At 38.6% G+C, this 25,772-nt stretch overlaps 1 protein-coding gene and 1 pseudogene across 47 annotated transcripts in view; one reads left to right on the plus strand and one right to left on the minus strand.

Annotated features, from left to right (window-relative positions):
- The window catches only part of TRIM37 (tripartite motif containing 37), a 139,680-nt gene that overhangs the window by 87,590 nt on the left and 26,318 nt on the right, over window positions 1-25,772 (minus strand). For 34 of the 47 annotated variants that reach the window (NR_148347.2, NR_148346.2, XM_047436110.1 and 31 more), the window contains 7 exons: window positions 24,964-25,087; window positions 20,857-20,924; window positions 16,033-16,157; window positions 9,565-9,615; window positions 7,777-7,858; window positions 6,242-6,318; window positions 2,085-2,264 (listed from right to left, as the gene is read on the minus strand). Coding sequence is in view for 45 of the 47 variants with exons in the window: in XM_047436110.1 (XP_047292066.1) it covers window positions 2,085-2,264; window positions 6,242-6,318; window positions 7,777-7,858; window positions 9,565-9,615; window positions 16,033-16,157; window positions 20,857-20,924; window positions 24,964-25,087 (707 nt within the window). In the remaining 2 variants the exon portion in view is untranslated. Of the gene's footprint in view, window positions 1-2,084; window positions 2,265-6,241; window positions 6,319-7,776; window positions 7,859-9,564; window positions 9,616-16,032; window positions 16,158-20,839; window positions 20,925-24,963; window positions 25,088-25,772 lie in introns of those variants that run through there. The other 13 variants (XM_047436117.1, XM_017024667.2, XM_047436108.1 and 10 more) reach the window with 3 other exon arrangements.
- On the plus strand, window positions 4,436-4,703 carry RN7SL716P (RNA, 7SL, cytoplasmic 716, pseudogene; annotated as a pseudogene).

A 25,772-nucleotide genomic window follows, 5' to 3' on the forward strand; every position in this document is an offset into this window, starting at 1 on the left:
AGTAGCTGGGATTACAGGCGCGTGCCACCACAGCCCGGCTAATTTTTGTATTTTTAGTAGAGATAGGATTTCACCATATTGGCCAGGCTGCTCTCAAACTCCTGAGCCCAAGTGATCTGCCTGCCTCAGCCTCCCAAAGTGCTGGGATTACAGGCGTGAGCCACCACACCTGGCTAAATAGGGCTGTTGTTTGAGTCAGTATTTACGTTCTATCCTTTCTTGTAAATACTACACCAACAATCAACAATAAAAATTGATGGTTTTGGCCAGACGTGGTGGCTCATGCCTATAATCCCAGCACTATGGGAGGCCGAAGTGGGTGGATCACCTGAGGTCGGGAGTTAGAAACCAGCCTGATCAACACGGAGAAACCCCATCTCTACTAAAAGTACAAAATTAGCCAGGCATGGTGGCGCGTGCCTGCAATCCCATCTACTCGGGAGGCTGAGGCAGGAGAATCGCTTGAACCTGGGAGGCAAAGGTTGCAGGGAGCCAAGATCGCGCCATTGCGCTCCAGCCTGGGCAACTAGAAACTCTGTCTCAAAAAAAAAAAAAAAAAAAAAAAAAAATTGATGGTTTTCGCAAATACCACATGTTCTCACTTATTATTTAAGAGCTAAATGGGCCGGGCGCAGTGGCTCAGGCCTGTAATCCCAGCACTTTGGAGGCTGAGGCAGGAGGCTCAAGAGGTCAGGAGATCGAGACCATCCTGGCTAACACGGTGGAACCCCATCTCTACTAAAAATACAAAAACAAAATTAGCCAGATGCAGTGGCAGGCACCTGTAGTCCCAGCTACTTGGGAGGCTGAGGCAGGAGAATGGTGTGAACCCGGGAGGCAGAGCTTGCAGTGAGCCGATATGTCGCCTCTGGGCGACAGAGGGAGACTCCATCTCAAAAAAAAAAAAAAAAAAAAAAAAGCTAAATGATGAGAACTCAAGGATATAACGAGGGGTAACAACAACAGACACTGGGGCCTACTTGAGGGTGGAGGGTGGGAGGAGGGAGAGGATAAGAAAAAATAACTATTGGGTACTAGGCTTAGTATCTGGGTGATGAAATAATCCGTACACCAAATCACCATGATGTGAGTTTACCTGTATAACAAACCTACACATGTACCCCTGAACCTAAAATAAAAGTTTAAGAAAAAAGTAGAAAATTGCTGGTTTTCGTCAACTTTCATCTTGACTCTTCTACTTTTAATTTGCTGTTATTGACAAAGAACTGATAGTTGCTTTATAAAATTAAGTTGTAAAACCAGTCACTCAAATATAATATGCACTGTGAAGTGAAAAAAATCAGCACTTTATCCCTCACTATTCTTAGATTTCCAAATGGTGAGGTCACTAGAAGTTCAACAGACAAATGGAACATTACTATACTTACTGGAAGTTGTAGTTTCCCACCCACCCCCTTTTTTTTTTCTTTTTAAAAAGATGGGGGGTCTCATAATGTTTCCTAAGCTGGTCTCAAACTCCTGGGCCCAAGCCGTCCTCCCATCTTAGCCTCCATAGTAGATGGAAACACCGGCGCACCACTGCACCCAGCTTATCTTTAATGGAATTGCTAACTAGATGTCAAAAAAAGTTTGACTTTTTGACTACAAATTTTTGATTATTATCCACTTAAATAAAACAGTTAAGAAAGTGATAAGGGGCCGGGCACGGTGGCTCACGCCTGTAATCCCAGCACTTTGGGAGGCCGAGGCGGGCGGATCACGAGGTCAGGAGATCGAGACCATCCTGGCTAAAACAGTGAAACCCCGTCTCTACTAAAAATAGTAAAAAATTAGCCAGGCGTGGTGGCGGGCGCCTGTAGTCCCAGCTACTCGGGAGGCTGAGGCAGGAGAATGGCGTGAACCCGGGAGGCGGAGCTTGTAGTGAGCCGAGATCGCGCCAGGGCGACAGAGCGAGACTATGTCTCCAAAAAAAAAAAAAAAAAAAAAAAAAAAAAAAGGTGATAAGGTTATAGTTAGTATGAATTTCAATATTCATCTTTGTTAACCAAATGATCTTTGAAATATAGTTCTGATGATATTATTTCCCCACAATAAAAACCACAACATCAAATTTTTCCTGTTACCTTAAAATCACTGTATCATTTTGTGGATTCAAGTATCCTTCATTTGCGAGTAAGTCCAAACGGAAAAATCTATTATAGCCCCAGCATTCTCCAACTTCAAAGTCAGATGCAAATTCTCGAATGATATTTTTTGTAGGATCATTACAGGACTGGTGAACCATCTCTACACGATATTCATATCTAAAATTGAAAAACAGACCATTACTATACAGTTAGTAAAGTAAGAATAAAAAACAAACTCATCTAAACATTAAGGTCACTAAGTAATTACCTGAGAAGAAACCTTATTGATATACGCAGTTACATTTCTTTTATCATTTATAAAAACAGCAGTATTTTGGGGTTTTTTTATTTATTTAAGATGGAGTTTCACTCTTGTTGCCCAGGCTGGAGTGCAATGGTGCAATTTCAGCTCACTGCATCCTCTGACTCCAGGTTCAAGTGATTCTCCTGCCTCGGCCTACAGAGTAGCTGAGATTACAGGCGTGTACCATGCTTAGCTAATTTTGTATTTTTAGTGGAGACGGGGGTTCATGTTGGCCAGGCTGGTCTTGAACTCCTGACCTCAGGTGATCCACCCACCTTGGCCTCCCAGTGTGCTGGGATTGCAGGCGTGAGCCACCACACCCGGCCAGAAAAAGAGCAGTATTTTTTTGTTTGCTTTTTTGAGATAGAGTCTCACTCTGTAGCCCAGGCTAGAGGGCAGTGGCGGGGTCTCAGCTCACTGCAACCTCTGCCCCCCAGTTCAAGTGATTCTGCTGCCTCAGCCTCCCAAGTAGCTGAGATTACAAGTGCACACCACCATGCCCAGCTAATTTTTTGTATTTTTAGTAGAGACAGGGTTTCATAATGTTGGACAGGCTAGTATCAAACTCTTGACCTCAGATGATCCACCCTCCTTGACCTCCCAAAGGGCTGGGATTACGGGTGTGAGCCACTGCGCCCAGCCAAAACAGCAGTATTTTGAACGAACCACCAAAACATGAATGGCAATAGGTCCTTTTTTCCTCGTAAAGATGTTTACCGATATATCAGGTATAAAACAACACCTCAAAAAATAAATAAATTTTGAATAAACAAGTAATTCAAAGTTGCTTTTGTTTTACTAATGCAATATTTTTTCCATATATTCACTACATATGTTTCCTCATAAATATTGTTATTTCTATTATCCTTTGAGGTTTATCACCTTGCAATTTTAAAATATAAATTTTGAAATACTCTACTGTATTTTGCCAGTACAAGTGATAAGAAAGCAAATTATTGTGTATTCAGAAAATCAAAGGCTATAAAATTTCCTAATAGAAAATAAGTATGCAGCCATAAAAAAGAACGAGATTATGTTTTTTGTGCAACATGGATGGATGGAGCTGGAGGCTATTATCCTCAGCAAACTAACACAGGAACAGAAAACCAAATACCACGTGTTCTCACTTATATTGTGGGAGCTAAATGATGAGAACTTATGAACACAAAGAAGGAAACAACAGACACTGGGGTATGCTTGAGGGCAGAGGGTGGGAAAAAGGAGAGGAGCAGAAAAGATAACTATTGGGTACTGGGCTTAATTCCTGGGTGATGAAATAATCTGTACAATGAACCCCCATGACATGAGTTTACCTATGTAACAAACCTTCATACGTAACACCAAACCTAAAATAAAAGTTAAAAAGAAAAGAAAAAGGAAAAAGAAAATAAGTAAGCTGGACACAGTGGCTAACACCTGTAATCCCAGCACTTTAAGAGACCGAGGTGGGCAGATCGCCTGAGCCCAGGAGTCTGAGACCAGCCTGGGCAACATGGCGAAACCCCGTCTCCATAAAAACAAAAAACAAAAAAATTAGCTGGGTACGGTAGTGCATTCCTGTAGTCCCAGCTACTTGGGAGACTGAGGCAGGAGGATCACCTGGGCCCAGGAGGTTGAGGCTGCAGTGAGCCATAATTGTGCCACTGTGCTCCAGCCTCAGTGACACAGCAAGACCCTGTCTCAAAAAGAAAAGAAGTATACATTGGGAAAGCCAATATATTCTAATTTATATATCCAATCTTGTAAAATTTTCAGGTTTACAAAAAGACAAAGAAGATAGCCTATAAACTTTTGTGCATTAATGCACATTATCAAGAAAATGAAAAGAAAACCTACCAAATGGGAGAAACTATTTGCAAATCATATGTCTGATAAAGGTTTAGTATCCAAAATATATAAAGAATTCTTGACCGGGCACAGTGGCACACACCTGTAATCCCAGCATTTTGGGAGGCTGAGGTGGGCGGATCACCTGAGGATACGAGTTCAAGACCAGCCTGGCCAATATGGTGAAACCCCGTTTCTACTAAAAATACAAAAATTGGCTGGGCGTGGTGGTGCATGCCTGTAATCCCAGCTATTTTGGGAGGCTGAGGCAGGAGAATTGCTTGAACCTGGGAGGCAGAGGTTGCAGTGAGCTGAGATCATGCCACTGTACTCCAAGCTGGGTGATAAAGTGAGACTCAAAATACATTAAGTAAATAAATAAATTGAGACAGGGTCTCACTCTGTCATTCAGGCTGGAGTGCAGTGGTGCGGACACAGCTCATTGCAGCCTCGACTTCCTGGGCTCAAGCAATCCTCCTGCCTCAGCCTCCTGAGTAGCTGAGACGTATGCAGGGTCTCACCATATTGCCCAGGCTGGTCTCAAATTCCTGGTCTCAAGCAATCCTCCTGCCTTGGCCTCCCAAAGTGCTGGGATTACAGGTATGGGCCAGCCAGTCTGGCATATTAACCTTTGACTGAACACAAGACACTGTAAATTTTACTCTGTTGGATGTTAGATACTTCAGCAACCTTATAAATTTTCTTGAGCTTCCTTCTGGGATGCAGTTAAGTTACTTGAAAACAATTTGATCCTTTCAGGTCTCACTTTTGTTAGGTGGGTCCAGAGCAGTGTTCAGTCTAGGGCTAATTTCTGCTATCGAGACAAAAACTTCCTTAGTGTTATACCCAATCAGTGACCCATGAATTATAAATTTCTCCACCGTGGCAGGTTGCAATAGACACAGTTCCTGGCCCCGTGTGAACACCAGTCACTCACTATTCCCTCTAATCCTGTCAAGGAGTTCTTTCCCCAATCTCAGGTAGTTTCCTCAGACATATGCCCTGATAAGTACTCTGCTGAATACTCAAGGGGAACCCATTACGGATCTCTAGACTTCAGTCTCTGCAGCTTTCTCCTCTCTGGTATTTTGTCCAATGCGCTCTAGCTGTATTGTCCTTTCTAGACTCTCAGCACTATCCCCTCAACTAAGTCTGCCAGATTCTCCCTCAGTCCCAGCTCCTCCCTGTGTTGCAGCCTGAAAACTCTCTCAAGGCTGTAAGCTGGAGAAATTGTAGAGTTAGTTTGTGTTTCTCATCTCTCAGGGACTACTTTCATTTGTTACCACCATGTCCAGTGTCTAGAAAATGTTGTTTCATGAGGTCTTTTTTTTTTTTTGGTTGTTGCAGGAAAATGGGTAGATCTCATCCCTCTTGCTTCATGTTAGCTGAAAGCAGACATTCCATACTAAACTAACAGATTTCATGTAACAGAGTTAAAAAAAAAAATCATTAATATGATTCCAGATCCCACATTGTAAATAACATTTAACAACCTACCACTTGTTCAGTTTGGATGTAATATCAAAGAAGATCCACAATTATCTAAAACCACTTTAAAAAATATTCCTCCTTGTCAAAAAGTACATTTGTGGTTCTCAGGGACTGAGGGAAACGGGGAATGGGAAGTGACTGCTAAGGAGTACAGGGATTCCTTGTGGAGTAAATAGAATGTTATAAAATTAGATGTTGGTGATGGTTGTAGAACTCTGCAGACAGATTTCATACATGTATTTCAATCAAAATGATATTTTAAAAAAATTGAATATAAAAGCAGACATGAGAATCCAGTAGTCTTCTTCTAAGCCAGATAGTAAAGAGATTTCTAAAAACGCAAAGCAATACAAGTTTTCTTAAAAATATTTTGTTTTTAGAAAAATACCATCCTATGATGCCAAGAACATATTATTCTACATCTTAACAGACATACCAATACAGTAATTAACAAAAATAAAAATTAACAAAAATTGCTAGGGGGAAGGTATGTAAATGCACATTAAGGTTGTTATTTAATTACACTTCTTACTTAGAAGTTTCAGGCAAGCCAGCTGAGAGCTCCAGAAACACAGATAAGTAGTAACCTCGCACAACTCCATTTCCATCCTAAAAGAAGAATAATCAGTTTGAGTGTAAAAAAATTAAGCCACAATAAAACAAAATGCAGATAATATCTGATATCTAGATTGAGAAGTACTTCTAAGCCTCAAAGCAATGGAAGAAATAATTAAAAACACCAATAGATTTGAGTTCTTAACAACTTTAAACTTTTGTGCATTAAAAAAAAAGTGAAACTATTAAGGCACAAAAATGAAGGGAAATATCAACAACCACAACAAAGGTTAAGAGTTTTAACATATATAGAACTCTTACAAATCAACCTTAATAAAAAAACAAGACCCTAATGGGAAAAATAATTTCATTAGAAATGAGTGAAGCAAAAAAAAATTTTAAACCAAAAATTAATTTTTAAGACCAACATACAAAAAGGTAATACCCTATGCTGAAAGTAATTAAATATAATTTCTATATGATTTTAATATTAGAATTCCATATAAGATTCTGTCTAGAGATTGAGAAGTTGTTTAAATCTCTACTATAGATTTTATTTTTATAAAGATAATTACTCCCTCCCTTTTTGTTTAATTTGGCAAGACTCTTTTAAAAAAAGAGAATTACTTCCTATGTATTTCCCTAGTACTTCAGGTGTCTATGTTTTAAAAGAATCACATTTATTATAACTACTTGTTTAAACATCTGTTCCCCCAACGAGACAATGAAGGCTGACAACAGAGATCCTTATACATCTCCAGTGTCTACTGGGATATGACTACAGAGAGGTACAAGTACTATTAACCCCTTCATTTTTAGTCTACTTTGCTTGAAAGGACCTGAGGCAACTTTTGAGGTTCGACATGATAATCACTCAGTAGATATCAATGAATAAATGACTCATCAGCTAGGTGAATAAAGCCAGACATAAAAGATGATATATTATTGTGTAATGCCATTATACAAAACTTTTCTAAAAAAAAAAAAATAATCTGAAACTACATATTGAAAGACTTCAATGTGTAACTGAGAATACTAACCCAGGAGGGCTAAAATGTGTAATAGTAAATTACTGGACTCAAAAAGATTATTTAGCATCTAGGCAATATCACCAAACATCTTTAAAGGTAAAGAAAATTAGTTTATTATCAGACTTTTCCTAAAGAAAATGGAATTGCATATTGAAGATACCCAATGAAAGAAAATATGAGCCAAGGATTTTATATCCAGCAATACTAGCCTTAGAATATAAAAGGCAAAAACTGTTTTCAACATATGAGAACTCAGGGAACATTGTTTCCAATAGGCCTTCCAGCAGAATGTATTAGAGAACAAGGTGTGGACAAACAAACAGTTGTCTAATATGGGGGAAGAAGGGGAACAGGGAATGCGGACAGCATATGTAACAAAAAAAAGAAGAGTTAACAGTTCTCAGTAATCAAATTAGTATACTACAGAACTCTGAAAGAAAGACCTTGGTTTCAAAATTTATTAGAAATATGAAAAACTTACTGGGTAAACTTTTAACCTCCAGCAAAGTCCTGAAACTTGAAGAGGTGGACTGTAAACAGGATCTGCTCTCTGACGCAAAGTGCTAACGAAAAAGAAAACCAACCAAATCCCAAGATCAAAACTGTTGTGAAATGGCAACAGGCAAAAAGAAAGACCAACCAGTTTCTTTGTTACATACTTGAAATCCTAGACAAATAACAAGGTGACTGAACAGGTCAAAATTCCACTGTAAAAGTTTAGATATGCTTACATCCTGAAATAAAGAAAATTTAAAGATACTGAAATATTCAGCAATATCTTTTAAGTTTCAGGGGAAAAAAAACCCTCAAAATTGTGACATTTAAGGGAAAAGGAATGTATCACCAAGTCTCCCAAAATTAATTAATGCTTCAACAAGCAGTCTTCACCATTAAAAATAAAACAAAACCCAGAATGTTTCTTCCTCGCTTCTCTGCAGTATAATCATCTTTTAATATTGAAGAACAAGAGTACACTAAACCTTAATACGTGTGGGAAAAACCTCAAAGAGACTATGTTTTAGCCACAAAAGTAACCCTAAGAAAAGACAAATTAAATGGGAAGAGGGATAAATTCTGTGTGGCTTTTTTTTTTTTTGAGATAGAGTTTTTTCAGACAGAGTTTTACTCTTGTTGCCCAGGCTGGAGCGCAGTGGCACGATCTCAGCTCACTGCAACCTCCACCTCCCGGTTTCAGGCAATTCTCCTGCCTCAGCCTCCCAAGTAGCTGGGATTACAGGCGCCCACCACCACGCCCAGCTAATTTTTGTATTTTTAGTAGAGACGGGGTTTACCATGTTGGCCAGGCTGGTCTTGAACTCCTGACCTCGATGATCCACCCGCCTTGGCCTCCCAAAGTGCTGGGATTACAAGCTTAAGCCACCATGCCCTGCCCAGTGTGGCCTTATTTTGATGGCCTTTGCCTATTATTTGGAGTTTCTCTCCTGAAGACCTTATAGTCCTTGTTTCCACTTCCATGCTGCCCTCAAAGACAAATTGCTAAGAACCTTTGCATGTTACGATCTTCACTTCTGATCTTAAGAGAAAAAGTAGTAAAAGCTAACAAAATTAACATACAACTGACAAAGCCTACACATTTCTTACAATAATGGCCCCTTATCCACAATTCTTCACTTTGAGCTGAGATAAATGGATCTCAATGGATTTCTTCCCAGCACTTTTATTTCTGAGGATAGGTAAGAGGGGGCTCATCAACCTCTAACTGTCCAGCCCCCCACCTTAGTCAAAGCTAAGTGATCTCTCTTATTTAAAATGGTTCCTCACTTTGGGCAGGGCACCGTGGCTAATGCCTATAATTCCAGCACTTTGGGAGGCTGAGGTGGGAGAATTACTGGAGCCCAGGAGTTTGAGACCAGCCTAGGAAACACAGTGAGACCCCATCTGTGTGGTGGCACACGCTTGTAGTCCCAGTTACTTGGGAGGCTGAGGTGGGAGGATTGCTGCAGCCCAGGAGGTTGAGGCTGCAGTGAGCAATGATCACGCCACTGCACTCCAGCCTGGGTGACAGAGCAAAACCCAGTCTCAAAATAAAAAGAAAAGGTTCCTTTTCCCAGACTAGAGAAGCAGTCAGTCTAAAGATACAATATAATCCAGCACAAATTATCTCTACATTTCTAATAGGAAACTTATTCTTCTAAGACTTCTAAAGTGAGTGACACAGTTCACTAGATTACTGTCTTACCAAAGAATACCTTTCTGGCTCTTCCTTATATACACATACAAAAAAACCAGAATTGTCAAAAACTCTTACCTGAAATTCTCTAAAACAAAAGTAGCTGAATCGTAAGATGGCACTAATTCACTAAAAAAAAAAAGGCAAAAAAAATTATTTAGCTTACATGTTTAAAATTCCATTTGCCTAAAAAAGCCAAGTCCCTCACTAGTATCTTAAAAACTTTATTAAACTAAAATCTAAGAAATATTTTTAAATCTTTATTGAACATAACATTAAATCAAATGAATTCATAAAACCATCAAGTTTGCAATTAAATTGGAGATACAAATACTTTATAAAAGTTTTTTGGCTGGGTGAGGTGGCTCACCCCTATAATCCCAGCACTCTGGGAGGCCAAGGTGGGTGGATCATCTGAGGTCGGGAGCTCAAGACCAGCATGGCCAACATGGTAAAACCCCATCTCTGTTAAAAATACACAAAAATTACCCAGATGTGGTGGTGTGCACCTGCAATCCCAGCTACTTGGGAGGCTGAGGCACGAGAATCACTTGAACCCTAGAGGTGGAGGTTGCGGTGATTCGAGATTGCACTACCACACATCTCTATTAAAAATACGCAAAAATTACCCAAATGTGGTGGTGTGCGCCTGCAATCCCAGCTACTTGGGAGGCTGAGGCACGAGAATCGCTTGAACCCCAGATGCGGAGGTTGCGGTGAATCAAGATTGCACTACCACACTCCAGCGAGGGCGACAGAGCCAGACTCTGTCTCAGTCAACCAATAAATCAATAAATAAATACTTTATAAAAGCTTTTTTTCCTAAAAGAAAAAAAGGCAACACATTATATAATTATTAAACTAAGTACAAGAAATACACTTTAAAAAGTACTCATGGAAATGGGAAAAAGAAACTGACGCTTAGGGTGTGAATCTGAATTATGAAACAGATATAAAACATCCTTTAAAAAATGAAACAACAGTCAGTGATAACACAATTAATCCCCAAACTTCCTACTCTGGAATGGATTATGGGAAATATTAACAGACCTCAAATACTTTGAAACTATTTACTAGCAAATAAATCTACACATTTTTATAGGATGAATACCTCATCACCTAAGGGGCAACTGTGATGGACTAGCACACTCACACTTTCTTGGCAAGTCAAAACTACTTCAAGCAACTTTAGTCCCATCCAATCTTCTTCAGAGAGAACTGTATTATAATCACAGAATGGACTAAAAGTCACTTTGCTGCTAACTACCTTTAATCATGTGGATGGTTTGTACACTTTCATTAGAACACCTCAAAACTCATTAAAACACTATACTATGAAAAAGACTATCATACGATGTTTTAATAGTGTTATAAATTTGATATATAAAATTACAAATTTCCCAAAACAATAAACTGCAAACCATTTCACCACATCTTCAGATATATTTTCTAAAGTTCAATTCATCATAATTTTGGTTATTATCAAAACAAGATAAAATATACATCTATAGCACTGCCACACTATGATAGTGTCTAAAGAAATTAGTGGCTTGCAATACAATATAGACAAATAATTCTTTATTTCAATGTAAGTACGTATAGCTAAATAGGTCACGTCTTTTACACAGTAAGCAGATGTACTTTGCCCTGTGATTAACTGTATAGCTACTATCCAAATTGACTATGTCAAGAATTCCTATGATATCCCTAGTCAGTTGTTATCCTTCTTAGAAGACTCACATTCCTCATCCCCATATCCTTTTGCCTGGTTAACCCTTACTATTTCTTCAGATAACAGATTAGAAGTCACATACTCTTGGAGGTTTGCTCTAAGGTCTTCCCATTATATGATCTCCTAGCACTCAACATACACAAACTCCAATTAGCAGGACCAATGCAATTAGTGCCTAGGAAGCCTTTCTGGAACCATAAACCTAGTAAGAGCTCTAAGGGAGTCTTCCCAGTATAGCCTTCAAATTTGACATGTTTTTGAAATTTTGTGCAACTTTCAATCAGGTCTCTCATCAAGTACAGAATATCCTCCACAACATGCAAAGACTTTAATCAATCCCCAGTTGCCTGCTAATCTGCATATTATTTCTTCTGCCATGTCCAGTGTAATTTATTTCCTGTGTTGTTGTTACTGTTATTTCTGCTCTAAGTCCAGACTATCATTATCATATTTTATTGGCCATTAAGGGTCAAAAGACTTCAGCAGAACCCAAATTAAACAACAAGAGATGCCATTTTCAACTCAGAATGGTGAAGTAGAAAGCTTCCAGGCTAAAGAGCATAGGTTACTAACACTCATGAACCAAGAGAGTACAGTCCAGTTTACCCTAGTCTCACTTGCTAGGAGAAAATGACCACATTCAGAGCACAGAAAACAGGTACTGTGATATACTTTTACATATGTACATTCTCCTAGGGAAAATTTTTTGGACACAAATAGTATAATGACAAATTAGTGGTATGGGGCAGCATTAAACAGGATACTTACTTCCCCTATCACCAGTTACCACATTAATTTTATTACTGTTCCAATAACCTGTTTTTCTAAATCATAATTATAAACCCAAAGAGCTCTGTATTATGCTTAATGCTAGCACTTAACACATGCCTAAAATATAGCTGGCATATATTCACTGAATGAATGTTTATAAATACTTGCTGGCAGATTCGTAGAGTTGGAAATATTTGCTCAAAAATTTCTTTTGCGAAAGAAATTACTTTGCTTTTTAAATTTAAATTTTATTTATTTATTTATTTATTTATTTTTTTGAGACGCAGTCTCGCTCTGTCACACAGGCTGGAGTGCAGTGGCGCGATCTCGGCTCACTGATTTTGCATTCTTTATATGTATATACAAAGCTATTGCTACTGCTAGGCCATCTAATTCCACCACCACATCTCCATATTATGCTCATTCATTTAGAGATTATCTTCAATCATACTGATGTTATCATTCTGTGTCTGCAGATGAGGCACTGCTTTATCTTTTCATAGTTTTAAAATTTTCTCCTCCTCTCTTAGAAGTGTAGACTGCTCTGGTTATGATGACTGGATTCATCTCATGATGGTGTCAGTGAATCTTTGTCTTCACAGAATATGGGAAACTACCCTCAAACCATCTCTAGCCCAGGAATCTGGAAGTCACTGATCTGCAAATCTTCAGACCAGTAACCTCATCATAACTTCATCAACAAAGGGAAAAAAGGGAGAACCACAAGTATCCATTTGTTTCTTAAGGAAATAAACTGCTGAGCTATATAAAAACTGGTTCTCCTTATCAACTTGACTATTTCTCCCTGAAACATAAAACTCTCTATGAACTGACAGCTATACTATTGTATCTTTTATTTTTTCTTTTCTGCCTCAGCCTCCGGAGTAGCTGGGATTATAGGCATGCACCACCACACCCGGCTAATTTTGTATTTTTAGTAGAGATGGGGTTTCTCCATGTTGGTCAGACTGCTCTGGAACTCCTGACTTCAGGTGATCCGCCCGCCTCGGCCTCCCAAGGTGCTGGGGTTACAGGCATGAGCCACCGCGCCCAGCCCACAGTAAAATATTTAGTTCCTCTTCTCCCATGCAGCACCTACAACAATACTGGGCACATAGTCTTTAATAAATAACACTTCACTGATTTAGTGACCTTTTCTTCTCCATTGTGGCTCCATCACCAATTACTAACTGATAGAACTAAAGGCAATAGAAACACCACTGCTTTGCATATCTAAAGTTTCATGTGTAACTTAATGTCACGAATGCTGATCTTTCTTATTTGGCCCTCTTTTCCTGTATGTTGCAACTAATAAAACAGGTTTCTAATAAGAATTAAATTAAAAGCCAAAGTTTCCAATAAGGTAGTGAGCATTACTGGAGAAAGAGAGAAGGCCCTGAAAGTGATTAATTAACAGACTAGCGAGCATTGTTGCCTGCCTGATGAGCTGCTGAAAGTGGTATAAGAATGGGAATTTACATACATCAATGGTTCCCAAACTTTAGTGCAGTATTATTACTTAGAGTGCTCAAGACGCATTTCTGAATACCACCTCTAAAGATTCTGGGGACATTGGCCTGGGAATTTGCATTTCAGACAAATGCCACACATAGCCCTGACTTAGGTCATCCATGCACCACACTTTGAATTGAAAAATACTAATTTTTATATATGACCCTTAGGTCAAAATCTGTTTCATTCCACAGGGGATGAAATGGTTCAGAAAACAAATCTTCAAAACTGAAATAGCTGACCACAGTATCAATGAAGCAGCCTAGGGATTTTGGTGAACATTCTTCAACCAAATCTACTTAATGACAGCAAATACATAGTCCTTTTAATAATATTCAGTGCTGTCATTCAGAAATGAGATTTAAACAAAAAAGTCAGTGCTTTAAAAAGATATGAATATTTTATGAGGTTGTTAATCAAAAAGAAAGGAAGACTTCTACTGGTCAATGAGAACCACTGGAGTTCTAGCTGTCAGAAAAACTTTGCCCTTCTGTTTATAGGACTGTGGCATCTATAACGAGTAAGAAGGGCTTATAACAGTGATTCTCAGTCAGGGGTGATTTTGTCCCCAAGGACATTTGGCAATGTCTGGAAATATTTTTGTCACAACTGCAAGGTGGTGGGGTGGGGAGTGCTACTGGGATACTGCTAAACATCTTATAAAACACAGGAAAGCTCACCCCACCCCACAAATAATTATTCTGCTTAAAATGTCAACAATGCCAAGATTGAAAAGCCCTGGCTTATATGATATACTCTAGTACAATGAATGCGGCCAGGCATGGTGGCTCACACCTATAATCCCAGCACTTTGGGAGGTCGAGGCAGGCAAATCACTTGAGGTGAGGAGTTTGAGACCAGCCTGGCCAACATGGAGAAACCCCGTCTCTACTAAAAATACAAAACTTAGCTGGGCGTGGTGGTGCATGCCTATATTCCCAGCTACCCAGGAGGCTGAGGTGTGAGAATTGCTTGAATCCGGGAGGTGGAGGTTGCAGTGAGCCGAGATCACGCCACTGCATTCCAGCCTGGGTGACAGAGTGAGATGGAGTATAATAATAAATAAATAAAATAATAAATTAAAAAAATAAAAAATAAAATAGTACAATGAATGCTCTGTGGTCATCAGAGGCATCACATATTAGAGGAAAAAGAAAAGGCAGCTCAACATATAAACATTTTTATAACAAAGACTGTTTTCTAAATGTGCCACAGCCCTCACCATGGTAGGAAAACTTGATAGTATTCCATAAGTCATCTCTCTAAGATAAAGTCTGTCACACCAAAATGTTTATCTGAAGCAGTGGCTTCACCCCTCATCATAGAATAAGCTAAGGAGATTTTAAAAGAACAAACTGAAAATGTCCATCTGAACCCTATGTCACAGGCTGAATTGTGTCTCCCCAAATTCCCATGTTAAAGCCCTAACCCCCAATGTGACTGTATCTATAGCCAGGGCCTTTAGGAAGATAATTAAGGCTAAATGAGTTGATAATGGTGGGTCTAATACAATAAGGCTTGTGTCCTCATAAAAAGAGAAAGAGACACCAGAGACTGATCTCTCTCCAAGCAAGAACAGAGAAAAGGTCAGGTGAAGACACAGAAAGAAGGCAGCTGTCTGCAAGCTGAGGCAAAAAAGTGAATTTTCTGACACCCTGATCTTGGAATTCTTGTTTCTCGAACTGTGAGAAAATACATTTCTGTTGTTTAAAGGCACCCAGTATATGGTATTTTGTTATAGCAGCCCAAGTAGACTAATACACACCCAAAGATTTTCTTTCAAATGGCCTGGGGTATGGTATGACCCAGCACTGATTAATTTTCAGCCAAATCCCAAGTGATTCCAACATCTAGTCAGAAACCACCAGTCTAACACCACAGAATGATTACAAACATGCTTGAAGGAATATGCTGTTCAGAAAAATTCTAAGGTTTAGCCCAAGATGAAAACTAGGATACTTTTTGCCATAATTATTTCCTCTCTCTATCTTTTAGTATCCGGAGATAACATGGCGTCACCTTCAAATTCTTTTGGCATTTCATCAGTTTCTGAGTTTTGTGTTAGGAGATATAGTTCAATTCAAAAGGTACACTGATGAAGCTAATGTAATCAATTATTTTTTTCTATACTACGGAAGATGGAGCTCTTGGAAAAAAAAATGATTTCTAGTTCATTGTCATTTTCTCTTAAGAGTCAAAAGTATCAGTCTGTGAGACTTTTCAGGAGAACTAGATTTGTATGTATACAACAGAGCTTGCCAGACCACTCCATTATAAACAAGACCTTAAAAAGCTATGGAGTGGCCAAGTGTGGTGGCTCATGTCTATGATCCCTAGTAATTTGGGGGGTCAAGGTGGGAAAATCACTTGAGTCCAGGAGTTTGAGACCAGCCTGGGCAACAAGTGAGACCCTATCTATAAAAGAAAAGAGAGAGAGAGATGGCATTAAAAAAAAAAACATTCTTTTGAAACAAGTATATGCATTTCCACATAAATTTCAAATGAAAATGAAATTAAAAACTGTGTCATACCTGGTAAAGTCTGGTGGAACAGGAGTGGTAACAAAAGATGCCATGGGCTTCCGATGAACTTGCTGAAACATCATAAGGATCTCTGAGCTCTTAGATATCAACTCACTCTTACTACAAGACCGCAACTGTGTGAGGAAAAAAATTATCTGAACAAACAAAATTACTATTCACTGCCACCTCAAAATTCTTAAGAAATTACAAATTATTCTGATTATAAACTGAAAAAAATGATAAAAATAACTCAAAGTGAGCTTGAGAATTAAGAATGTACAAAGAATCTAGGTTTATTTCTATAATATTCTAACAGTAAAGTCAATGAATAAGTATACTTAATACTAATGCATTTTTCTCTCCTTACATTTTAGGATAAATGAGGTTTTAAGCAAGTACAAATATACTTTCAGGCTGGTACAGTGAAGTTCTTATGAATGTATTAATGAACAAACCGGTAAGTTGAAAGCTTTTTTTTTTTTTTTTTTTTGAGACAGAGTCTTGCTCTGTTGCCCAGGCTGGAGTGCAATGGCGCGATCTCGGCTCACTGCAACCTCCGCCTCCTGGGTTCAAGCGATTCTCCTGCCTCAGCCTCCTGAATAGCTGGGATTACAGGTGGGTGCCACCATACCCAGGTAATTTTTGTATTTTTTAGTAGAGACAGGGTTTCTCCATGTTGGTCACACTGGTCTTGAACTCCTGACCTCATGATCCACCTGCCTCGGCCTCCCCAAGTGCTGGGATTACATGCGTGAGCCACCGTGCCCGACCAAGGTGAAAGCTTTTAAAAGCAATTTCTCAGATTGTATTCTAGGTGACAGAATACAAAACGTACACACATACACCCGTGTGTACACACACACACACGCACTATCTGATACTAATTTGGGAAACACTATTTTGGGAAAAAGTAACAAATCTAACTTCAGTAACATAACCATGGTAGATAAAAGATAAGACTACTAATTTTTTCTTCAAAAAAACCAGTTTGAAGTAACTCCCAATTCTGCCACTGACTAATTACATAACTCTGAGTCTGTTTACATACAAAACTAAAATAGTAATATCCACCACTGCTTACTTCGTGAAGTTTGTTATAAGGATTATGAAGCTATAGTGAAAAAGCTTTGTAAACTATCTGTTATGTGCTGAATTTTGTGCCCCTTTCCTCCATAATTTATATACTGCAGGCTCAACCTCCAGTACCTCAGTCTATCTGGAGATAATCTTTAAAGAGGTGATTATGTTAAAATGAGGCCACTGGGGTAGGGCCTTAATCTAACATGACTGGTGTCCTTATTAAGAGGAAGAGACTCTAGGGCTGCACAACCACACAGAAAAGTCCATGTGAGGACACAGTAAGAAGGCAGTCATCTACAGGCCAAGGAGAGAGACCTCAGAAGAAACGAAACCTGCCAACACCTGAATCTTAGACTTCCAGCCCCTAGAATACTGAGAAAACAAATTTCTATTGTTTAAGTCTCACAGTCATTGGTATTTTGTTATGACAGGCCTAGCAAGCTAATATACTATCAAATGCCATATGAATGATATTCATAAACCCACCTACAGGTGAGTTTATATCTTTTAAATAACAGTTGCTTAAGGCTCACCAAAAATAACATATCATATGGCTGGGCACAATAGCTCACACCTGTAATCCCAGGACTTTGGGAGGCTGAGGCGGGTGGATCACTTAGGGTGAGGAGTTCAAGACCTCATGACCTGGCTAGTTCAAGGCCTGGCCAACATGGTGAAACCCCATCTCTACTAAAAATATAACAATTAGCTGGGCGTGGTGGCACGTGCCTGTAGTCCCAGCTACTCAGGAGGCTGAGGCACAAGAATTGCTTGAACCCAGGAGGCGGAGGTTACAGTGAGCCAAGATCACGCCACTGCACTCCAGCGTGGGCGACAAGGCAAGACTCTGTCTCAAAAAAAAAAAAAAGTATCATATATCATATGATATATATCAAAGTTTATAGTCTTGGGTTACCAAGAATAATGATATCATGTTTGAGCTACTGCATCAACCAATGACATAATGGTAAGTGGTAACAGCAGAAAACAACAAACAGCTGCATATTTTGTCATTCATATTATTATGTGTCAGGCATTGCCCAAGGCATTACGGTTTTTTGAACAATTTATATAAAATGATCTAAAGTTATTTGAACTGTTTGCTTAAGATTTTTAAGGTATGCTAAAAATCACTGTGTATATGTACATACATACACACATAATACAAAAAAATTTAACTTATATTAATTGAATGCTTACTGTGTATATCCTTCCTTGACACCATTTCTTCCAAAAGCAACTTGCTCCCTTCAACAGAAGTTTATTATCACTATACATGTGTTTCCACAATTACTATGTGTGTACATACATCCATAAACAATGTTCTGAATGTTTTCAAACTTTACATAAACACTATCAGGCTATATCACCATGTAGCCTACATTTTTCAGTTAATATTATTTACTTTTTTTTTTTTTGAGACAGGGTCTCGCTCTGTCGCCCAGGCTGGAGTGCAGTGGCACGATCTCGGCTCACCGCAGCCTCTGCCTCCCGGGTTCAAGCAATTTTCATGCCTTAGCCTCCCGAGTGGCTGGGACTCCAAGCATGTGCCACCTCGCCCAGCTAAGTTTTGTATTTTTAGTAGAGACGGGGTTTCACCATGTTGCCCAGGCTGGTCTTGAACTCACTCAAGTGATCTGCCCACCTTGGCCTCTGAAAGTACTGAGATCACAGGCATGAGCCACCACGCCCGGCCTATTTCTTTACTTTTTTAAACAGATGGGTCTTGCTATACTTCCCAGGCGAGCGCCGTGGCTATTCACAGGTACAATCATAGCACACTGAAGCCTTGAATTCCTGGGCTGAGGCAATCCTTCCACCTCAGCTTCCTGAGTAGCTGGGACTACAGGTGTACACCCCATCTCAATACTGTTTTGTTAAAAACTAAGACAATGGCCTAGGCCTACACATGGTCAGGATCATCAATATCACCACCTTCCACCTCCACATCTTGTCCCATTGAAAGGTCTTCACGGGTACTAGCACATATGGATCTACAATGCTAACAATGCCTTCTTCTGGAATATAGTCAACGTTTTTTTAAAAAGTAGGAGTAAACTCTAGAATATATTCTAGAATAATGAATGGTATGGTATAGTAAATACATAAACCAGTAACACAGTTGTTTATTATGCTTATCAAGTATTATATACCATACATAATAATGTGTTATATTTTTATACAACTAGCAGTGCAGTATGTGTGTTTACACTAGCATCACAATAAACACATGATTAATGCTTTGTGCTACTACATTACAATGGCTATGATGTCATTAGACATCACTACTAGGCAACAGAAGTATTTCAGCTCCATTTTAATCTTGTGGGACCACTGTCACATATGCAGTCTGTCATTGACCAAAAGGTCATAATTTGACACATGTTTGTATATGGGAGATGTGTATAGGTTATATGAGAATACTATGCCATTTTATATAAGGGACTTGAGTATCTGCGGATTTTGGTATCCATTAAGGTCCTGGGGCCAATGCCCTACAGATATATATGTGTGTATGTAAAAAGAAAAGGAAAAAAGAATGGGGATAATGAAGAAAAATAAGAGTATTTAGTAAATATTTATGTGCTGAATCCTACAAGCCAAATTGTCAATCAAGTACAAAGATAAAATAAAAATATTTTCAGACAATGCAGTCAAGAAAAATGTGTTCTGACTACCCTTCCTGGAAAGCTACTGAGGGAAGTGTGATGTTAAAACAAAACAAGTAAACCAAGAAAGTGGAAACCATAGGAATCAGGAAACATGAGATTCAATACAAGAAAGATGTGAAGGGAATTCCCAGAATGATTAAGATAAAAATCTCAGGAGACAGCTGTGTATAAGGCATAGAGAGAAATTACAAAAAGCAAATTCCAGACAAGTGAATGTATCAGATATTTATGCAACACTACATATTTTATTTACTCATTTACTATATGCTTCATATTCACCCACCCTAATCTAAAATATAAACTCTATGAGGACAGAATTTTACCATTTTGTTCACTGCTGTATCACCAATATCTACAATGATGCCTGCTATCTATTTAGGACTTAATATTTCCTCAATAAATAAAAATGCTAAATTTTAGAGTAATAATCGCTACATGTAAAGTAACTGGCAATAATATCTCAAAGCCACCACTTAAGTCACAGTGTGGGGAGATTTTAACCTCTTATACATTCAGATTTCTATGGAAATAGTTCTGTTCTTACAAAGCAGAATGTAGTTCTAATGCAGTTCCCAAACATGAAGAAAAAACTTGGCAAGAATCAGCTGATTCCTAATTTCATAAAAATCTCCATTATAACACAAAAGATCAACAGATCTTTTGATCTCATACAGATAATCTCTGTCAAAAAAAAAACGTTTATAATATACAGAGAAGGCCGGGCACGGTGGCTCACGCCTGTAATCCCAGCAGCTTGGGAGGCTGAGGCGGGCAGATCACCAGGTCAGGAGATCGAGACCATCCCAGCTAACATGGTGAAACCCCGTCTCTACTGAAAATACAAAAAAATTAGCCGGGCGTAGTGGTGGGCGCCTGTAGTCCCAGCTACTCAGGAGGCTGAGGCAGGAGAATGGTGTGAACCCAGGAGGCGGAGTTTACAGTGAGCCGAGATCGCGCCACTGCACTCCAGCCTGGGCGACAGAGAGAGACTCCATCTCAAAAAAAAAAAAAAAAAAAAACAACTACAGTATACAGAGAAAAAAGGATAAAGACTATTTCATTACATTTAATATTTCATCACCTGGTGCTCCACCTCCTGAAGTAAGGATTCCAAAAGCTCTGTTTCTTGGGTTAGAGATGTCTTCTGACCTGATGAAAAATAGTGAATCATCAACACTTGGGTTCATTATTGGTTTAAGAATGAAATTAACTTCCAATGAACATATTTAATAACAAGAAATACACTTCAAGTAAGCAAAAATTCTTCATTACAGCTACCCTAAAAATTCTCATTCAACTTTAAGAGGCTGAATATTATAGTAGCCTTGAAAATGGAACTTCAGAACCAATTCTAATTAGTTTTAGACAAGATACCACTGAGATCAAATTCATCTAAGAAACGAAATGTGCAATGACAATATACTTTAAGCAAAAAATTTACTTTTCTAGATTTTCATATTCCCTTGGGAAGAAGCAATAACATGAATTTCATTCAATCAGCTATTCTGAAATCATTTTTCACCAAATTTAACTGTGGCTTAAAAGAGAATACAAAGTGGGCCAGATTTTTAGGTTAAATGTCAGCAAAAGGTCTGTCCTGTGAATATACAAGGACCTGTTTAAAAAAAAAAATGCCCACAGAGGTGAACAGTCTCAAAAAGTTGGAGACAGAAAAGGATAAACAAATTATTACTGGCCGGGGCCATGGCTCATGCCTGTAATCCCAGCACTTTGGGAGGCCAAAGCAAGAGGATAACTTGAGCCTAGGTATTTGAGACCAGCCTAGGCAACATGGTGAGACCCAGTCTCTACAAAAAAGTAAAAAATTAGCCAGGAGTGGTGGTGCATGCCTGCAGCCCAATTTACTCAAGAGGCTGAGGCATGAGGATCACTTCAGCCCAAGCGGTCAAGGCTGCATGCAGTCATGCAATGAGCCTTGATTGCACCACTGCAGTCCTTCCTGGGCAACAGAGTGAGACCCTGTCTCAAATTACAAACAAAAAAATTATAATTACAGAAATTATCCTTATAGAAAAGGAAGAAAGTGCTTTATATGTTTTGAAACAAAAAGAAGATAGGTATGCTTACCAAATCAGGCCATTTTCTTTGTAAACCCAAAATTTGAAAAACTGGAAGTACATCCATGAGGACAGCAAAAGTTTTATCAATCTGTAGTGTTATTTGATAAGGAAAAACATTTAATAGGTAGAACTTTTATTTATTTTATTTATTTATTTTTTGAGATGGGGTTTCACTCTTGTTGCCCAGGCTAGAATGCAATGGCACGAACTCAGCTCACCGCAACCTTTGCCTCTTGGGTTCAAGTGATTCTCCTGCCTCAGTCTCCTGAGTAGCTGAGATTACAGGCATGTGCCACCATGCCCGGTTAATTTTGTATTTTTAGTAGAGATGGGGTTTCTCCATGTTGGTCAGGCTGGTCTCAAACTCCCAACCTCAGATGATCCACCCGCCTCGGCCTCCCAAAGTGCTGGGATTACAGGCATGAGCCAAGGCGCCCGGCCTTTATTTATTTTTATTTATTTTTTTGAGACAGGGTCTCATTCTGTTGCCCAGGCTGGAGTATAGTGGCGTGATCTCGGCTCACTGCAACCTCCACCTCTCAGGCTCAAGCGATCCTCCCACCTCAGCCTCCTGAGTAGCTGGGACTACAGGAACACACTATCACACCTGGCTAATTTTTCTTTTTTTTTTTTTTTTGGTAGAGATGGGGTTTCACCACATTGCCCAGGCTGGGCTTAAGAGATCCACCTGCCTCAGCCTAGAACTTTTATTTTTGAAACAAAACTCAGAATTTCTAGGTTGCAAAAAGAGTTAAAATAAAGTATTAGCTAGAATCTAATATTATCAGACATAATTTCTACTATAACCACATCCCACAATCCTAAAACATTAGCCTATGGACAACATTACAATACATAATTAAACTTAAAAATGAGTGGCAGAGGCCGGGGGTGGTGGCTCACGTCTGTAATCCTAGCACTTTGGGAGGCCAAGGCAGACAGATCACAAGGTCAGGAGTTTGAGACCAGCCTGGCCAATATGGTAAAACCCTGTCTCTACTAAAAATACAAAAATTAGCAGGGCGTGGTGGCACGTGCCTGTAGTCCCAGCTACTTGGGAGGCTGAGATAGAAGAATCTCTTGAACCTGGGAAGCAGAGGTTGCAGTGAGCCAAGATCACGCCACTGCACTCCAGCCTGGGCAACAGAACGAGACTCCATCTCAAAAAAAAAAAAAAAAAAAAATTAGTGGCAGAGGTCAGGTGTGGTGGCTCACGCCTGTTATCCCAGCACTTCGGGAGGCGGAGGTGGGTGGATCACCTGAGGTCAGGAGCTCAAGACTAGCCTGGCCAACATGGCGAAACCCCATCTCTACTAAAAATACAAAAAATTAGCTGGGGGTGGTGGCACGTGCCTGTAGTCCCAGCTACTCAGGAGGCTGAGGCAGGAGAATTGCTTGAACCCAGGAGGCGGAGGGTGCAATGAGCCGAGATAGTGCCACTGCACTCCAGCCTGAATGACAGAGCGAGACTCCATCTCAAATAATAATAATAATAATAATAAATTAGTGGCAGATATTATGGTATGAATTAAAAATCTGAGGCTTATAAGACTATTCTAAAGATAAACTAACCCTGAAAATATCCTTTTCCCCACCTCTTATCCTTAGAAAGAATCCTATTTAATCATAAAAGCTACCTTGGAAATCACAAATTATAATTTTTCATAATGAAAAATAATTTGAAAGCCACAAAAGCAGGGCAAGTTCAGTTATTAGAAAGGGAAGTTATTTCACAGTTATACAGGTAGTAAAATTAATAAACTTAAGAGATCTGTACTGTGGTATTATTTGACTTTTAGTTGATTCAATTAAATAAATGAAGCAATGAACAAACTCACTCAAGAAAAACAAGACCACATGCAAATGTTTATTTGGCTACGACTGAAGATCACATCAACAGTCAAGATCCCCTCAATTTTAAAGTCCTAATACGTATCAACATCCAGTACTCTACATGGCTTAATGAACTTAAAGAGATCTCAAATATTATCTAGAGTTCTGAAAAACTAAGATCACCTATATGTATGACTGCAACTGAGGATCTAAGAACAATTACGATTTTCATTTACATGAAATATATAAGTGGCATTGTGACCAGTACAATCAATACCTACAGGTTTTGTCTAATTGCTCCACTGGGTGGATGAACTGTGCTTTCCAATCTAACTACTAGAAGAATGATTGTTTAAGACTATTTGCTACTTGGTCTGTGGGAAAAAAACTAAAAATCAGATATTAAATAGTATAGGATTATAATAGAAAAGCAATTCATGAAATGATATACAAATATACAAACTCAAAGATATTTGCATCTCATTTTTAAAAAGTTAAAAATAAAATGGATAAAATCATTATTTTGGATGACACAAAGACATGGCTAAAATCTTGGAGAATCAAGATAGCCAAAAAAAAAAAAAAAATTCTTTGTTCACACCTTATTTAAAGTATATATATTTCACTTTGGACTATGATAAAAAATGCAAAGCTGGTTTTTAGTCAGCAAAACACTGGAAGGACTAAGATCACCAAAACAAATCAAACAAAACAAACCATAGCATTGGATTAAATTCTTACTTAAAATTTAAGTTCAATACCAGGCTCCACAATCAAAGAAGAATGAAGGAATCTTCGAAAAGCAAAAAGGTCAGCAATAAATATAATTAAGCATATGTAAAATGAACCCTACTAGAAATCAAAAGCTGAGACTTTAAATCTCTAAGAAAATGCTGGCAGGGGATGACGCCGATGTTTACAAATGTCAGTTTCTTCATCCCCAATGAAAATGGATGGAAAGGATATGGAACATTAGTAGAAGGAATTCTGTTAGATTTGGAGAAAAAGCTACCTAACAATGATGCCCACTGGCCATTAGGATTTTCATCCAAATGGCTATGAAAACTTGGATTTTCATCCAAATGGCTATGAAAATTTTTCTCTCCTATCATTTCTAAATACAAGTCTAACATTTATCTGTCTAAATTGTAACAACATGGAGTTGCCTAAAATCTCAAGATTCCTTCCTAGGATGATCACCCTTATTCTTCAAAGACTGAATCTCAAAGAAGCTGAAAGCACCAGGTACCCCAGCAGCATACATAAACACTTACCCATCAGTGTTATAAGCTTATTCTTCAGCTGTGTGTCTAACCGTGCAATCATCATCTCCACTGCATTCCTAATTTCCCGAACACGCTCATCTTTTGCATTTCTTACAGCTTCTACATTCCTTTCCTAGAAGATAAAGAGGTAAGAATAATTTTAATTGGGTAAATTTTAAAAACAGAAGCACCACATTATAATATTGCCAAGAATAGATAATATGAAAAAGGTAGTTAGAGGAAGGTCAAATGGAAATGACCCAACTTGCTTATATTTCAAAATGGCAGACATGCAATCAAAAACACAAATTTTCTGCATAAAGAATGTTATAAATGATCACTTGGTTCTTGATTCCTAAAGAGGTAAAACAAAGAAGACATCTGCTTTTAATTTAGGATATGGTCCACAAACTTCATTTTAAGTTAGGAAATGGTCCATAAACCTCATTTATGACTGTCATTCTAACAACTTGAAACAAAATGTATTCTAAAAACATGCTTAGTATTTCATTCTTGGGGGCTTATCACATTTTTTCACAGAAATAACATTATAAATAGCTCACTAAAGCTGTTTGACCTAAACAATATCTAAACAGTAATGTTAAATATTGCACTTTCAAGTCTGTGGAGTTCTAAATCAGGACATCACAAATAGTTCATTGCTTAGTAAAAGAAACTCACCCAAAAGCTGGGGATCCAAAGAGTGTATAACTTAATGAATGACTGTAAAAGTCAATACTGATTCTGTTTAGAAGTAAATTATTGGGGCCAGGCACAGTGGCTTACACCTGTAATCTTAGCACTTTGGGAGGCCAAGG

Source organism: Homo sapiens, chromosome 17, assembly GCF_000001405.40.
Source record: "Homo sapiens chromosome 17, GRCh38.p14 Primary Assembly".
Classification (NCBI taxonomy): domain Eukaryota; kingdom Metazoa; phylum Chordata; class Mammalia; order Primates; family Hominidae; genus Homo; species Homo sapiens.